Consider the following 18,317-nt stretch of genomic DNA (forward strand, 5'->3'; position numbering starts at 1 on the left):
CATCAGACATTTTACTATCCTTAGAAATAATGCATTTATTCTAGAGATGTTGAGAAAATGTCTATTTAAGGCGTTAGTGTAATTATTGCTTAGGGAGAAGTTTGTTTTGTGTGATTTATATACAGAATGAAATAACTGATAGATTTGAGGTTGGTAATATATAGTTAGTATGAAAGAGGAATCCTTCCATGCTTCCACACCTAAATCTTACTCATCCCAACTTTGGTTCATTAAATCCAAACTGCCAGAGGATAAAACCGGACAAAATTCACAATTGAGAACTTCATTTCATATGTGGTGAAATTTAACTGTCATTATGATTAAATATAATGTGTTTTCTATTGGGGTGCTAATGATTTTATTATAGACACCATATTTTTATATGGTTGGGTCTCACTTATGGAGAAGAATGTGCCCTTAGATAACTTGGATAGAAGATAATCTGTGAGTGACTTAGCTATAACTTAAGAATATACTTTTTTTTTTACAGAAAATATAATCTCTCATATTAGTTCAATATTAAAAATATTTTTAGGTTCTCTGCACATACATGTAGCATGGAGGCTAAAGACGACCTCCTCCACCCTTTCAACTACCCTCTAAAGTTTTTGCCAGGGACTATTGCCACTCATGTATTTTCCAGAAATTTGTTCCTCATAACGTATATTATCTCTGCCATACAGTGTCACCTTTAAAATCTCCCAATCCTTTTTAACCCAGTAGTAATCCTAGAGATTGTCACATTCAGCCTTTTCTTTCTGTTAACTAAGAGACACCAAGTGACTGGCCCAGGTTCAAAAGCTACCTGGAAAACCCGGGGAGGAATTAAGGTAAGCAAACCCATCTCAGATGCTAATGGTACTATCTTTTTACAGTCTGTTTTGTATCATTATCCAATTGCTTTGATTAGGACTTATTTCCCAAATGGTTTCAAAAACCTTTGATGGCAGGGAAAGTGTTTTATTTATTTACTGTTTTTCTTTACAGTGTAATGCTGGAAACACACTAAGAAAGCAATGAGTATAATGAATATGTTGCATAGTAATAAGGAGCACCATGTTTCTAATTGAGGCAAAATTCACATAACATAAAATTAACCATTTTAAAGTTAACAATTCGGTGTCATTTAGTACACTTACAATTATATGTGAACACCCCTTTAATCTAGTCCCAAAATATCTTTAATCAACCCAAAAAAGACACCTTGTACCTACTAAATAATTATTCCCCATCCTCCCCCTCCTTATCCCCTGCAAAACACCAATTTGCTTACTGTCTCTATGGATTTGCCTATTTTGAGTATTTCATATAAATAGAACCATACAATATGTGAACTTCTGGGTCTGGCTTCTTCCACTTAGCATATTGTTTCAAAGTTTAATCCATATCATAGCATGTATCAGTACTTCATTTATTTTTATGGCTAAAAATATCTTATTATATGTATATGTCACAATTAGTTTATTTATTCATTGATAGACACTATGTTGTTTGCATCTTTTAGTTCTTGTAAATTGTGCTGCCAGGAACACGTGTATATGTGTATTTGAGTATCTGTTTTCAGTTCTTTTGGATATATACCTACAAGCAGAATTGCTAGGTCATATGGTAATTCTATGTTTAGCTTCTTGAAAAACTGCCAGACTCGTTCCCATAGTGGCTGAACCATTTTCCATGAAAAATACAATTTTGAGGATAGAAAATTATATAGTGTGATGTTTGTGCACACAAAAAAATGCCCCTTGACAGTTTGGTAACAACTGTTGTGCAACAGTTGTCATTTATGTGCATTCTTCACTTACAGGTGAGGACTCTGACACATCCAGATTTTGTAAGTTGCATAGAATGAATTTCACAGGACGCATCCAATTCATGGACTCTTACAAGTTTGTATCAACACCTACAGCTCTGACCTCTGGGGTAAGTAGTTGTGCTGCTATGCACAGTTGTTGAAGTTGTGCACAACCTATCCTGTCATATGCAACAACCCTGATTAAGTGGTAGATGACTCTTCACATTCCAAACTTGGCTCTTTCTGATGTGAGTAATTATCCATCTACTCTAATGCTTTCAGTCATCTTTTGGAATGCAAGCACCTACTCTACTGCTATCAATCAACAATATCTTTAATGTTGTGCACAAGTCCTTATGCCAGACCATTGGAGGGACTGCAAAAGGTATAAAATGTAGGCCTTATCATCAAGGAAGTTAAAGATTCTATGGAGAAAAGAAACTGACATGCTTGAAAAATGTATTAATAGTATAGAAAGTGATATGGTTTGGCTGTGTCCCCACCCAAATCTCATCTTGAATTCCCACGTTGTGGGAGGGACCCAGTGGGAGGTAATTGAATCATGGGGGCTAGTCTTTCCCATGCTGTTCTCAAGATAGTGAATAAGTCCCACAAGATCTGATGGTTTTTTATAGAGGAATTCTCATGCACAAGCTCTCTCTTTGCCTGCTGCCATCCATGTAAGATGTGACTTGCTCCTCTTTGCCTTCCACCATGATTGTGAGGCCTCCCCCAGCCATGTGGAACTGTAAGTTCATTAAACCTCTTTCTTTTGCAAATTGCTAAGTCTCAGCAGTGTGAGAACAGACTATTACAGAAAGTATTAAAAAATTGTAGGAAAAACATCTGGCTGAACGATTAGGGCAGTCACACAGAAAAGATGAAATTTGAATTAGGCTCTGGAGAAGGGGCAATAGTTCAAAGGCAGAGACAAGAAGAGCTGTTTTTCTTAGTGTATTGTATAGAGTCTACAAAGCAGGTTTTGGTAAAAGTTTGAATAGAAAACAGAATTTATGCACCAGAGTTGTGAGAGGTGTGAGTTTGCAATGATAGTCTGAACCAGCTGGTGGAAGACTCTAGTGTCAGTCTGGTATTCACTCTAAAAATATAGGGTCTTTGAAAGGTCAAAGATGATGAAAAGCAATCTCTTAGCACAATTATTCCTGCAAGATGGATTGGCGAGGTAAGAGAGTTATGAGGCTTTCATTGTTCTCCAGACATACAGTGACACAAAAGGATCTGAATTAAGTTAAAGACAGAAGAAACCGAAGATAAATAACAGGATCTCAATGATAATGTCAAGAGGATTTGGGGACTGATACAGTTTGGGCTTTAGAGGAAAGAAAACAAGGAGTTAATGGTGACTGTGAGGTTTCAGAGCTGGAGGACTGAACAAATGGGGGCATTCTTTATGAAGCTGGTTCATCTGCAACAAGGGAAGAGGGCAAGAGTGTTGAGTTCATATAGACAGTGAAACACGTGTGACATCATCACTGTAGCAAACTGTGTCTAGATAAACCTCCAACCTTTCTAGAGAAAAAGTTTCAGAAGATGTCTAAATAAGGCAATATTTGAAGATAGTTGGAAACAAATGAGGTCTTTGAGGATTTGTGCTTGAGTCTACCTCTTTAGGGACATCTCCCTTATAAAGCCCAGGCAACTTTTGTATTTTATTTTATTTTATTTATTTTATTTTTTATTATTATACTTTAAGTTCTAGGGTACATGTGCACAATGTGCAGGTTTGTTACATATGTATACATGTGCCATGTTGGTGTGCCACACCCATTAACTCATCATTTACATTAGGTATATCTCCTAGTGTTATCCCTCCCCCCTCCCCCCGCCCCACAACAGGCCCCAGTGTGTGATGTCCCCCTTCCTGTGTCCAAGTGTTCTCATTGATCAATTCCCACCTATAAGTGAGAACATGCAATGTTTGGTTTTTTGTCCTCGTGATAGTTTGCTGAGAATGATGGTTTCCAGCTTCATCCATGTCCCTACAAAGGACATGAACTCATCCTTTTTTATGGCTGCATAGTATTCCATGGTGTATATGTGCCACATTTTCTTAATCCAGTCTATCATTGTTGGACATTTGGGTTGGTTCCAGGTCTTTGCTATTGTGAATAGTGCTGCAATAAACATACATGTGCATGTGTCTTTATAGCAGCATGATTTATAATCCTTTGGGTATATACCCAGTAATGGGATGGCTGGGTCAAATGGTATTTCTAGTTCTAGATCCTTGAGGAATTGCCACACTGTCTTCCACAATGGTTGAACCAGTTTACAGTCCCTCCAACAGTGTAAAAGTGTTCCTGTTTCTCCACATCATCTCCCGCACCTGTTGTTTCTTGAGTTTTTAATGATCGCCATTCTAACTGGTGTGAGATGGTATCTCACTGTGGTTTTGATTTGCATTTCTCTGATGGCCAGTGATGATCAGCATTTTTTCATGTGTCTTTTGGCTGCATGAGAAGTGTCTGTTCTTTTGAGAAGTGTCTGTCTTCTTTTGAGAAGTGTCTGTTCATATCCTTCGCCCACTTTTTGTGGGGTTGTTTGTTTTTTTCTTGTAAATTTGTCTGAGTTCTTTGTAGATTCTGGATATTAGCCCTTTGTCAGATGAGTAGATTGCAAAAATTTTCTCCCTTTCTATAGGTTGCCTGTTCACTCTGATGGTAGTTTCTTTTGCTGTGCAGAAGCTCTTTAGTTTAATTAGATCCCATTTGTCAATTTTGGCTTTTGTTGCCATTGCTTTTGGTGTTTTAGACATGAAGTCCTTGCCCATGCCTATGTCCTGAATGGTATTGCCTAGGTTTTCTTCTAGGGTTTTTATAGTTTTAGGTCTAAAATTTAAGTTTTTAACCCATCTTGAGTTAATTTTTGTATAAGGTGTAAGGAGGGGATCCAGTTTCAGCTTTCTACATATGGCTAGCCAGCTTTCCCAGCACCATTTGTTAAATAGGGAATCCTTTCCCCATTTCTTGTTTTTGTCAGGTTTGTCAAAGATCAGATGATTGTAGATGTGTGTTATTATTTCTGAGGGCTCTGTTCTGTTCCATTGGTCTATATCTCTGTTTTGGTACCAGTACCATGCTGTTTTGGTTACTGTAGCCTTGTAGTATAGTCTGAAGTAAGGATTTTTATTTCAATGAGCTATATACCTCAAAGACACAAAACTCATAATGGGTTTCACAGTCTTTCTCCCAACCCACACCTCAACAGAAACATTCTGACCAAAATCCAGATATTTTCCCTAATGCCTCCAGTATACTCAATCTGAACCTCTGAATCTTCCACCTTTTGATTAATCCCAAAAGCCAGTGCTGATGTTGCTCATTTCATGGTTGAGAGCACCGGAAAGAGATTTCTTGACTATGGCTGAGAGTCAAGTTTAGAGTTTGGAACAAACAAGGTATCAATTCTAACCTAAAGAGGGCTTATCTAAATTTTAATTATGTTTGCCAGGTTGCTATTTGTGGTTTTGTAGGGAAAAAATCAATAGCATATCACTACCTTATTTGGCATAAGGAGAGATAAGCTTCTTTCTCATCTGTCCAAGGAGATGGGTGACATAAAGAGCAAGTGACCATGACCCCTAAGCAAAGGAAATTTAATTATAAATGTTTAGATATTATTCATTCAACTGTAGTATCTTTCAGGAAATATTGTAAATATTGCCTAAAAGAAATTATCATAATTGGCTAATTAGTCTCACTGTTCCCAAGAACGGGTAAAATTGTTTCATGAGAGTGCCAAGTGTTTCCAATCCCAAGCAAGGAAATTCCAAGCCCAAGCACTCTTTTATAATCTAATTTTTTAAAAAGAGAACAACTGGCCGGGCACAGTGGCTCATGCCTGTAACCCAGCAGTTTGGGAGGCCTAGGCAGGCAGATCACCTGAGATCAGGAGTTTAAGACCAGCCTGGCCAATGTGTGAAATCCCATCTCTACTAAAAATGCAAAAATTAGCTGAGTGTAGTGGTGTGCCCCTCTAATCCCAGCTACTCGGGAGGCTGAGGCAGGAGAATTGCTTGAACCCAGGAGGTGGATGTTGCAGTGAGCCAAGATCGCGCCACTGCACTCCAGCCTGGGCAATAGAGCAAGATTCTGTCCCACCCGCCAAAAAAAAGAAAGAAAAAAAGAGAATAACAGCAAGACAAATAGCATTGTTCAATGGCTTCTGTGTATAAAGCCCTGTGCTGACGATTACCTTGTTTAAACCTCACAACAGTTGTATGATTATTAACCCCATTTTATAGATGGGAAAATTAAAGCTTAGAGAAGCTCAGGTTGCAAGGTCAAAGAAAATACAAATAGAATGTTCTTGGCTACAACACATTTTCTTAAACTACGTAGCTATTGGAGAGTGTTTAACTGAAGGAAAGAGAACAGAGGGGAAAATGCCGACGAATATAGACGTGACTATGAGGAGAAACATTTAGGAAGATGGCAGTATCAAAACATGTCCTACATCAAGGATGTACACCAAGGAAAATATAGATTAAGATGTGAATCCAAAGAAAAGAAAGTCACGGATGGAACTTTGAGAAAATACAATTTTAGATTAGTCATGGTAGTAGACATCAGATGCAGGGAGTTAAGTTGCGAGAGGATAACGGAGATGTGGCAGAGTTTAGAAAAACAAGTCATGCTAGAAGCCTTAGAGTGAAAAGGAAAACATGGTAGCTAGCATTGAAGAGCCACATGAGCTGTCCTCAGTACAGGGAATGTGTACATGAAAGAGGCAGGCATAGGGCTTGTCAGCTGATAGGGAGGACCAGAGGTCATGGAAACAAGGGAGAGTTGAAGGAGGAAGTGAGAGCAGGAGCTTCGATCACGAAGAAAGGACTTCAAGGAAGCTAGACACCTTTTCTTCTAGGAGAGAAGGAGAGTAAAAATGGAATGGGTCACTAAGAAAATAAAAACCTACTACCAGCTCTTCCAAAATTACAACTTTGTGTTCATGTATTTGTTTGTCTTAGTGGCAAGAACAGCCCTCTCCAACCACTCATGCCTGAAAAGTTTGGATTGCCTTACACTCCTTTCAAGCTTCCTCCCATCCATTCAACTTCTGGCTGTGAATGCTTTCCTATCCAACACCCACTCCTGGATGGCAGTGTTTTAATAATAATAATACCATTTACTAAACCCCTTTCATGTGCCAGGCACTGTAGTTAAGTCTCAGAGCAGCACTGTTGGAGAGGAGCATTGTCGTACCTTTTTGTGGGAGGACACTGAGGCTTTCACAGGGTAAGTACCTTGTTGGAGTTCACATGATAATAAATGGAGAACCAGAAACTGACCTCAGGTCTGTCCGACTGCAAAACCATCCTCCTACCACCGTACCACACTCTCAAAGGCATGTATGTCTCTTATTTTACAGAATGAAGAAGATACTTAACAATAGTTTTGATGGACTAGAAAATCAACAGAGATAATATCCATATTCGTATTGGTAGCCCCATTGTATTTAGATAGTGTGAGCCAGCAGTGTTCACTTCCACCCAATTCAGGGACTTCCTCTAGCAAGGTATTGCAGTTTGGAAGTGGGAACAGAAGAGACTGTGCAATCTTCACAGGAGAACATTGTCATGACAAAGAGGACAAACAAGTTCAAGGCAAAAAACTAAACCATAACCTTGGGATTCAAGGAAAAAGTCATCAAGCACAGAGGTAAGCGAAGGACTCTCACCCAAAGGCTCTCTCTGCCCAGTCCAGTTGGGATGGAAGATTTCATTCTTCACATTAATCATTGACTGTGTACAGTCATCATGTGGGTCTCAGGTGTTGGCCTCCTATAACTCCTGATATCTGTCAATTTATTTCTTGTTATCTTAGGCTTTCTAACAAATTTTAAGTTTACACTTTCTTTAGTTCAACTAGTACACTAGGATATAACAAGAGTGCCAAATTAAATATATATATATTTTTATATTCGATTTACATATGTTATTTATATATTTATATATATGTTGTTATATATATATAAACCTCCACTACTATAACAAATTTACTCTTTTCAAGTTTTTCACTTTCTCTCCAGGCCTTGTACAAAATCATATGTGAATTTTAAATAGTTCCAGTGAGGAAAGAGATGCCATATTTTAGTGTGGCTGTTTCACTGCTCCTTTTTTATAATTTTCAATTTTAATGGTTGCTAAGATTCTGTCAGGTTGCCCCCATTTTCCCCTAATCAATCTCCTCTGTTGAACATTTAGGTTGTTCTCAAACTTTTATTATTGAAAGTAATACTGCAAGAGAATATTTATAAAGAAACTTCTTTTAATTGTTTCCTTAGTTGAAAATTTTGAAGAAGCAGAGTTACTGGGTCCAGAGATTCTCTTGTAACTCAGTATTATATCCCCATTAGTTAATCTCCCATTGTTCTTTTTCATCCCTCCCATGTGCAAGCTAATTATTTTCCCAAATGTGGATTTTTGAGGACAAAGCAATAGCTTTGACATTTGTATCATGCTTATTTTTGTTAAATAGTGATTTATGTAAAATGTACATGTAACTGTAGAACTGACTAATGGGTGTAGAGTATAGCACTTGTAACACAAAATATTATATATATTTCTCAATAATTGATGCATTAGACACCTTTACTTCCCTGGAAAATCATTTATGCATGTTTGTTTTCTGGCCACTACAACTTGGAATTAGCTTTTTGTTAATCTCTGGGAGAGCAATCAGCAACTACAGTGATGATAAAGGTAAACCCAGTTGACAATGGGAGCACCAAGAAGAGTCACCCTACTCAAGAGATCATAGAGAAAATGATTATTTTTCTTTATGGACAAAATTGCTTCACGAAAGGTCTGTAGATGGGCTATCCATTTAAAGGGCCTAATTTGGGGTTTTAGGATATATTCTATAGGCTTTTCTATGGAAGAGTATTTTGGGTTGTATTTCATCCCAGGTAGTACATTATGAAACATTCTTACACTGATGTTATTTTATAACTTTTTAAAAAAGGGGGAATAAATGAAAGAATATATCTCAGAGTTTTGGGAAGCCATAAGGATACTTAACATGCCCTTTCATCTGGCTTCTGGCTGGTGAGAAATGTTCTTCCTGGATGCCTTTAGACATGGAAGAATAGAAATAACCACTTAAAGGTTGGTGCTTTAGTGACTTCTTTCACTCTAACCTCAATTCTTACAGACTTGGTTGTATTTTTGGAATTATTTTAAGAGAATTACAATGAAATCTAAGATGACTTTCCTTGTGGAAAATATAACATATGAATTTATTGTATCTGTTTTGCTCATGAATTGCCCCTGTAGCCTTACAAATATGATAAAGAAATCTATTCACATTCATGTTTTGGGTATTTAGGATAGTTTTCAACATGTAAACGGAAGTATAAGACTAACAAAATACTAATATCACATTGCAACTGAAATACAAATTTGTGGTTTATTTCCCTCCAAATCTTTGCATATAGATGAAGACTTAACTAAGTCTACTTCTCTCTTGAAAAGTTTGCTCTTGCTTGCTAATAATTCTGTAATTGATTTGTGTGAGGTCTTTTGTTGGTTGACTGGTTGTGTTTTTTCTATTATGTGAAATAGCTCCCGCCATTTCTGTTCTTTGGCAACCCTGAAAAAGCTGAAAGAGGCTGATCATCGCTAATGTATTGAACATCTTTTGAAGCCCCAATGACTGCCACCAACAAAGAACAGACACATGTGCTATCTGGGTGAGCACTTCCTCCTGACTCCTTAACAAAACCCTCCCTGAAAGGTTGATAAGCAAACAGGCTTCACAACAGAAGGGCAGCTCATTCCCCAGAGGGACTGACGGAAGCCATATTCCCAACACAGGAAAAGAAAGCAGGACATGGGTGATTCTGAGAAAGGTGCAGCCTTCCAGGGCAGACAGGAAGCACTGACATATGGCAACTGAATCAAAGGGGATCATGAAGTCTCTGTTCAATCGTTTGAGTCACGAAGTCTCCAATCCTTCAGCAACATGGTACTTTGAGCATGACTTCAGCAAAACCAAGGTTATAGGTGATGGTTATGATGATGAATAAAAGAGCAGTGCAGAGTGAAAATGAAGAATAAATTTGACTTTGATTTTAGTTCAGGGGTGTAGATGGATATTTTGCCCAGGATTTGCAACTTGGATTTTGGGAGATTGCTTTCCATGAGGATTTTGAATCCTTATAGATAATATATTAATTTAGAGTAGAATAGAGATGAATTCAAATGAAGAGTGAGAGAAGTTGTATTTCGAGGAATAAGAAAGCAGGTATAAAAACATTCAGTGAACTTTTAAATCATGCTATAGACAATCATCATAATGATGCTACTTAGGAAAGTCAGAGTCACGAAGCTCTGGATATAGTTTTTCTGTACTCTGTTGCAAAGGGAATTCTTTGGTAGAGAAAATAGATGGAAGCCTGTCAGTCGCAGAGAAGAAAGTGGAATGCAGGAGAGTGGGTTCCTAGAGGGATGTTGCTTTCAATCTACTTCCCTGCTGCAGTTTCTAGCCAGCACATGGTAACCACCTCTCTCTTCTGCCACCTTCTGAAGTTACTCAGATAAATCTCTGTTCCTTTGACCCAAAAGAAGTGCCCCCCACCAGCCACCTCTGTCCCATTACATGGCCCATTATGCTTACCTTATCTCAAAGATACACTCGAGTTATTGGAAATTTCCCATAAAGATTCCCACACTCCTGAAAGCGGAAAGAACACAGCAGGAAAAGACGAACTAGGATGTGTGTTAGTGTATGTAATTATATTGAGGTTAGAAATGGAAAACACACCTGATGCTCTGCGTTATTATTTTAAAAACAGCAATAAGAACAAACTGGAAGCTCAGAATGATGCCCTGGAGAGAATTATTCTTTTTCTGACATTTATTTAGATTCCCCTTTGAGAAATAGCTTTATTTTCAGTGATTTCTTGGGTGAGTAAAATAACATTTCACTCAAGAGTTAAAAGGGGTCAGTTTGGGTCTTGTCAGGGGTGCTTTGGAACTTTCTTGCTGACCTGGAATTAGTGCACGTGCATCTGAGTGCTACTCCAGCCACCCAGCACACCATAAAATATGTTTTCCGCTACAGTGATATTGCTGGCAGTGCATAAAACAAATGGACTGGGTCAGAAATAGTCAGACTCCACCTTTAAATGGATTCTTCTGGATGTATGTTACTTTGGAGAGCACTTTTGAAACATTCTTCTATTAAGGTTTTCATTATGATTTTAACTCCTGTCTACAGAAGCTATTCATTAATTCAATTAGTCCTTATTGCCAACGTAGAGGGTGAGTTCTATATTGTAAGCCCCAATGCACAGATGCAGAAACCGAGGTTCAGAAGCTTTGACATCTTGCCCCAGGTCTCTTAGATGTTAGTAGCTAATCTGGGATGCAAACCAGATGCCTGAATCAAGTCTTTGTTCTCTTCATTCTGCTGCACTGGTTCGTCTGACTTGAAATTGCATCAGTTAGGGTTTGGGTTCAGCTGCATACAAAAAAATCCGAGTGGCTGCCAGTTAGACTAAACAGAGATTTATTTTTCTTCCATATAACAATAAATTCAGACATAAACAGTCTGAAGCTGGTGGAAAGAAAATGCTTTCTGGTTTCCCAGTGTGATTAGGCACATGAAGGCAGTTGCAATTCCAGCCCTCATGACTGTAATCCAGACTGCAGAAAGGAGTTAGAAACAAGAAAATCACGTGGCACTTACATCAGGAAAGCACAGTATTTTTCAGAAATACACAGAAATAACCAGAAATGTGTCTCACATGATCATTGCTGGTCATCTAATCTCCCTAGAAAAGTAATTTTTATCTTATAACATTGCTGCCCCAACAAAATAGAGATTCCCTCAGTAAAAAGGAATGAAGGAATGGATTTTCTGTTAGTACCCAGAGAAGTATCTGTCTCCAAAAATATCTATCTTTCCACTTCAAAAATAATCAAATGTTTTCTTAGGGCATTTTTGTCCCAAAGCCTATTCCCACCCCTTGTTTTATGTTCCTCAATTTAGAGCATGAACACTTGCTGGCTGACCCATGGTCCCTTTGGCTGAATGTCAGCCAGCTGTAAAAGGACTATGTATATGAAGACCACACCAGCTAGAAGCTTAACTCAAGGTTTCATTGTTTTAAAGGACTTAATATTCTTCTAGTTTATGCAGAATCTCACTGGGTAAAGTTGCAGAAAAAAATTCTAGAATAGAAGAGAACAGTTTGGAATATGTAATTCAACTATTTCTAAGTAATAGAGAAAGGCAACAAAAATGTCAATATTACAGGCATCAAATACTTTAGCTAATCAGGTAATGTTATTGAGTTGGAAGCTGACCCTATCACCATAGGTATCTGTTTTCCTAAGTTACTCATCTTAACCGCTGATTCACACTGTTCACCCTCCCACTCGGCAGTGGAAGTTAAATGGCTTGTGATTCACAATCTCAGCCTTAGAGAAGAGATTTGTAATAACAGATGTTTATAATGTGCCTCTAGTTTCCCTTGGCCTTCTCTTCCTCCTCACTAAATCCCTCATTCTAGACCATGGAATTTTACAAGGGACTTGATGTCCTTGGGTCTTGCTGAGACAGAAGATATTCACAAAGGCTTGGACGAAAAGCTCCTCAGCCATCAAATTGGCTAATTCATTCCAGATTATGCTGAATGTAAGCTCTCCAGACGAAGAAACCATCATCTAACACAGGGGTGAGGTGGGGCACGGTGACGGGAGGATCAGATGAAGAGGAGTCAGCAGTAATAACGGAAAAGGAAGGCCCAGGGTGATTGGAGAAAAGCCAGGACAGTGTGAGGACTCTAAGCCCAGCATTAGAACTTCAAGAAGAATGGAGAGGTCAACAATGTCAAATTCTCCAACATCTGAGGAAGAGAGCAAGATGAAAGCATTGGGTTTAGAAATGTGAATGTAATTGATGAGCTTGCTAAGGTAGTTTCAGAGGGACGATAGTGAAAAAACAAAAAGATAAAGCCTGTGCTCGGTAAAAATTTAGAGAAAAGGAAAATTTAAAGTAGGGACTTCGGTGGCTGACTGGTCATTTTTTGAAAGGCCTCTCGGTGAGGGGAAGGAGAAAGAGATAATTGGAGCCAGAGGGACGTGCAAGGTTGGTGGCATTTGTTATTAAGACCACATCAGCTAGAGGCTTAAACCCAAGGTTTCATTGTTGGGTTTCATAGTATGGTAAAATCTTGGGTGTGGTTTTAGTCTATGGGAAAGTAGTCAATTAAGACTAGGAATAGAAATGTGTTTACAAGCAAATGGAACAGGAGCTGAAGGAGATGACACCCTGAATTAAAATTTAATTAATATCACAGAGAATGCTTTTCTATCATGGTTTCATTAAACACAGAGCCTTCACTTCTAAATATTCAAATACACATATATACATACACATACACACACACCTTTATACAAACTTTAAGTGTGTGGAGTGTTAGAAACCTCACTGTGTAAAAACTGAAACTATAACATGGGAAATGAAGAAAGGTGATTATTTAGATGAGAACACATATAATAATAAAAGTAACACATTTTACGGTTTCTTTAAATGTTTATTCATCCCTCTACACAATTAAATAGCATGTGTTTTAGACATTTTTATTATTTTCCATTTTCCAGCTGTACATACCATGAGAGATATAGGTTCTATAACTATTTGGAGCTATACAAATAGAAAGAGGAATAAGAAAATGTTATGTCCTCTCTCCTCTTTAAAAAAAAAATTCTGTTTTGAAAATTTTTCTTTTTTTGAAAAAAATTTTTTGAAAAATGTAAGGTTGATTTAATGAGTACATATGCATTTGGAAGTGATATGTCTATTCTCAATGGTCGTTTTTAAAATTTTCCTTTTCTTCAATGTCCTGATGTTTTACTCCATGTCCAGTCCGGCACTGTTTCTAATTGTTGTATGTTTCAGTCGCATGCCTGTCACATATGAGGAGCAACTCCTTTGTAAAACGGCAAGACATTACCTTTTTTTTTTTTTTTTTTTTTTTGTCTTTGAGACAGAGTCTCACTCTGTTGTCCAAGCTGGAGTATAGTGGCGTGATCTAGGCTCACTGCTACGTCCACCTCCCAGGTTCAAGCAACTCTCCTGCCTCAGCCTCCCGAGTAGCTGGGATTACAGGCGCCTGCCACCACCCCCGGTTAATTTTTATTTATTTATTATTTTTATTTTTATTTTTTTAGTAGATACAGGTCGTGTTGGCCAGGCTGGTCTTGAACTCCTGACCTCAGGTGATCCACCCTCCTTGGCCTCCCAAAGGGCTGCATCGCCTTTTCAAAATACCCTTTCCCCATTCCCTCTTTCAGCCCTCCCATTCTCTTCCCCATATTACTTGATTTCACACTTACATTCTCCATCTCGGCATTTACACTGGATCCTTGATATATGGATCTTTCAGTCAAGTCACTAATGCATTTATTACATATGTCTAATTTGCCATTTCATCTATTAACTCTATTAACTACTTTCATTTTATTTTAAGAACTATATGCTACAATTATAATTCTACTTCATTCCTTTTCCCACGTTTTATCACTTAGTGTTGCTATTTTTAGTGTGGTGATTTATCCTTCATTTATTGTTTTAAACCTTTTTAAGGCTCTTTTATAACTTTAAGTATTCTAATTTTACTTCTTGGAGCTCTAAAGGTTGTTTGTTGTATTTTTTGGTTCTTTACCTTGGAAGAGTTTTTATTTATTCTGTTAGTTTGTTTATTTATTTATTTATTGAGATGGAATCTCGCTCTGTCACCCAGGTTGGAGTGTAGTGGTGCCATCTTGGCTCAGTGTAACCTCCGCCTCCCAGGTTCAAGCAATTCTTCTGCCTCAGCCTCCAGAGTAGCTGGGACTACAGGTGTGTGCCACCACATCTGGCTAACTTTTTGTATTTGTAGTAGAGATGGGGTTTCACCGTGTTGGCCAGGATGGTCTCACTCTCCTGACCTCGTGATCCACCTGCCTCAGCCTCCCAAAGTGCTGGTGTTACAGGTGTGAGCCACTGTGCCCAGCCCTCTGTTAGTTTTTTTTAATTGTGGACTCAACTTCAACCATAATTTGTTTTTCCTCTGTGTGATTCTCAAGAAAAGTTAGCTATAAGTTTTAGTTTTTCAGAAAATGAGGATGGAAACATAAGGATCAGTCATTTGCCTAACAGAAGAGAAAAATATATCTATCTCATAGGTTTTACTCAGAGGCCGGAGGGAGCCTGTCTACTCTGTTCTTCACACTGATAGTAGAGTGATCACGCAAAAATTGATTTTGTTTGTCTAAGTCCATTCAGGCTACCATAACAAAATACATCAGACTGGGTAGCTTACAAACAACAGAAATTTATTTCTCACAGTTCTGACTGATGGGAAGTCCAAAATCAAGGTACCAGCAGATTTGGTGTCCAGTAAGATCCTGCTTCCCGGCTCAGAAAGGATGCACTCTCCCTGTGTCTTCCTCTCTGTGGGCCAACTGAGCTCCCTCAGGCCTCTTTTGCTTGTTTTGTCTGGTTTTGTTTGTTTGTTTGGGGTTTTTTGAGACAGGTTCTCACTGCTATTGTCACCCAGGCTGGAGTACGGTGGCATAATCACATTTCAGGCTTCTTTTATGAAGGCTCTAATTTCATTCATAAGGGCCCCACCCTCATGACCTAATAACCTCCCAAATTTTGGTGGGACACAAACATTCAGACCATAGCAATGTTACAACCCTGTAGTAACCTTTAGGATAAAGTACAAAGTTTCTTCCCCTGTGATCCAAATAGACACTGGATAGCACCTTGCCAAATCATTTGTTTGTACTGGGCATGCAACTAAACCACAATTCCAAGCCCATTTGCATCCTGGTGGGCCCTTGTGAACTAGTTCCCATCAATTGAATTGTGTTTAAGTGATAAGTGCCTCTTGTAAATCAAGGCAATTAAAGCATGCATACCTTCTCTGTGTAGCTCTCCCCACCCCAGCCCCTGTGACTATATGGCTTGGGGTGAAGTTTTCTTTTTTTTTTTGCCCCTAGACAGGGTCTCGCTCTGTTGCCCAGGCTGGAGCGCAGTGGCACTATCTCAGCTTACTGCAGCCTCCGTTTCCAGGATATAAGCAATTCTCGTGCCTCAGCCTCCCGAGTAACTGGGATTACAAGCGTGTGGCACCACACCTGGCTAATTTTTTGTATTTTTAATAGAGAGGGGGTTTTGCCATGTTGGCCAGTGTGGTCTCCAATACCTAGCCTCAAGAGATCACCTGCCTCAGCCTCCCAAAGTGCTGGGATTACAGGCATGAGCCACCATGTCCGGCAGAGCTGAAGTTTTCTATCTACTATCACCACTGCTATATCAGACTATGATATGTGTAAGCTAGTATAAACTTTTTTTTTTTTTTTTTGCTATGCCGCTGATATTTGAGGACTTATTTGTTACTGCAGCATAGTCTAGCCTATTGGCCCTCTCTGATACGCTTCCTGCCTAGTTCCCCAGTCTCATTGTTATCTATTTTCCTCTTGTATATTACATCCTCAGCACTTTCGCATTCTTCAGTTTCTCAAATACATTTGTCATTTTATACTTTGGCACTTTCGCATATATTTTTCCTGCATTGGGGATACTCTTTCTAATACTCTTTGGCTAATTTGATCTTCAATTCTCAGATCATGTACCAATTCCTCAGGCAGGTGTTCTTTGTTCTTGATTCTAAATCGTGTGCTTTCATTGATCTTCTCTTCCACAGAACACTATTCTGTTTCCTAATAACAATTTGTCCAATTGTTAATTATGTGTTTCGTTGTACAATGTCTCTCTTCTCTCATTAGTCTGCATACACCATATAAGGTAAGGAAAAGAACTATTTTGTTCATTACTACTTACATGACCCAAGATAGAGACTTAATGTATGTATTTATTAATATTTGTTAACAACAAAATGCATTTGTTGTTGAATGAATGAACTGCTCACGTCAACCTCTTGCATTTGCTAAGCCCCTAGATAAAGAATGTCTGCTATGCATTATTATGTGAAATGTGAGGTGAAAAGTATTTTGAGCACAGATAAATTAGTTAATGTATGTAAATGTCGTTTGAAAGCTCTCCTGTATAAAGCAAATTATCTTCACCAATTATATAAAAACTAAACTGTACAATCTTGAAGACATGCATAGTAATGTCCTTTCAATAGATGATGAATAATGATAATAGCTTCATGCCATAGAGCCTTCCCTGAACAGAGAAAAACAAATATATATGTATCTAATACATAGTATTACATACATAAAATATATTTCATCACTGATTACATGTTCATCATTTTATCTGTCGTATCAAGAGCAATTCGAAAACACACTTTTTTATCTTCTTTATATCTCCGGAAATTGTCATCACAGTGTTTATCACATAGTAGATGCTCAATAGGTTTTATGAAAAATAAATGAATGGTTAAATGCATTCATTTTCATCTGATTAATGAGTGTCTTTATGGCTATGAGGTGTGGTGACCTCTACACAAATCAAAGATAAACAATAACACAAATTTAATTTTAGAACTTCATTTTCTTTAAGTAATGGCTCATCTACAGGCTTCTGGTAGGATATGATGATTTAATAGGTAAAAATGTCATGAGACTAAGAGGTTTCTGAGACTCTGAATCAAGTCCAGGCAAACATAAATAACAATGAAATGATAATACAGTGCATGACCTGTTTGATATTCTTATTACTGCTCTGTAAAATTCCATGAGTAGATTTATACTGCAGTCATCCCAAGCCAACATTGACATCTTGACAATTGGTTTCAGTCTTTACTGTAATTGTGTCACTCATTAAAACATGCAAGATAATGCTGCTTAATCAGAAAACCGTTGCTTCTTTGAAATACACGCGAGAGCTACTTTTTCCACTGCCAGATCAGTTGCTTCTGCTAATACAGAAAAACAGATATACAATGAGACCATTTTGATATAAACCTGAAGGATTGATTAAAAAAGGTATTCAATGTAGGGCCACTCTGGCTTTTGTTCCCTTGAAAATAGAGGGAAAGTGACATATGTTGAACAAAACAAAAAGAAAAATAAGAAAGTTGTCCTTAGAGTCAAATCCAGCTTTTGAAATAAAAGTTTAATTAGCAAGTGTAGGACTCAAGGTGAAAATCTAAAGCCCCAGATTCTCAGGAGTTTCAAAGAGGGCTTTCTGTGTGTGTGTGTGTGTGTGTGTGTGTGTGTGTGTGTGTGTGTGTGTGTGTTTGTGTTTAATAATGGCTTACAAGTCAAACACAGCAAACGGAAACTTGAAACCTCACACCCAGGTTTACCCACTGTGCCTGAAACTGATGGATGTGTGTCACCGTGAGGAGATAAACTTATTTCTCATTGTCGACCTCATTCCTGTCTACGTTGTGGATGTAAGAAAGGTCCAGAGTTGAGAGAATAGGAAAACAAAGGCCCAAACAGCAATCAAATATTAATATATTGACCAGAGGGAGGGGCTGGGGTACTTGGCTGTCAGGCTGATTAGCTCTTTGTAAACAAAACAGCTTTAAA

General features: G+C 38.1%; 1 long non-coding RNA gene across 1 annotated transcript in view; it reads left to right on the top strand.

The window, feature by feature from the left end:
* LOC105370991 (uncharacterized) overlaps nucleotides 1–18,317 on the top strand; it is a 152,871-nt gene that overhangs the window by 131,989 nt on the left and 2,565 nt on the right. Inside the window, exons 8-11 of the long non-coding RNA XR_002957693.2 lie at nucleotides 1,805–1,920; nucleotides 7,181–7,470; nucleotides 8,776–8,918; nucleotides 9,375–9,502. This is a non-coding gene — a long non-coding RNA (uncharacterized LOC105370991). The remainder of the gene's footprint in view (nucleotides 1–1,804; nucleotides 1,921–7,180; nucleotides 7,471–8,775; nucleotides 8,919–9,374; nucleotides 9,503–18,317) is intronic.

This window comes from Homo sapiens, chromosome 15, assembly GCF_000001405.40.
Source record: "Homo sapiens chromosome 15, GRCh38.p14 Primary Assembly".
NCBI lineage: Eukaryota > Metazoa > Chordata > Mammalia > Primates > Hominidae > Homo > Homo sapiens.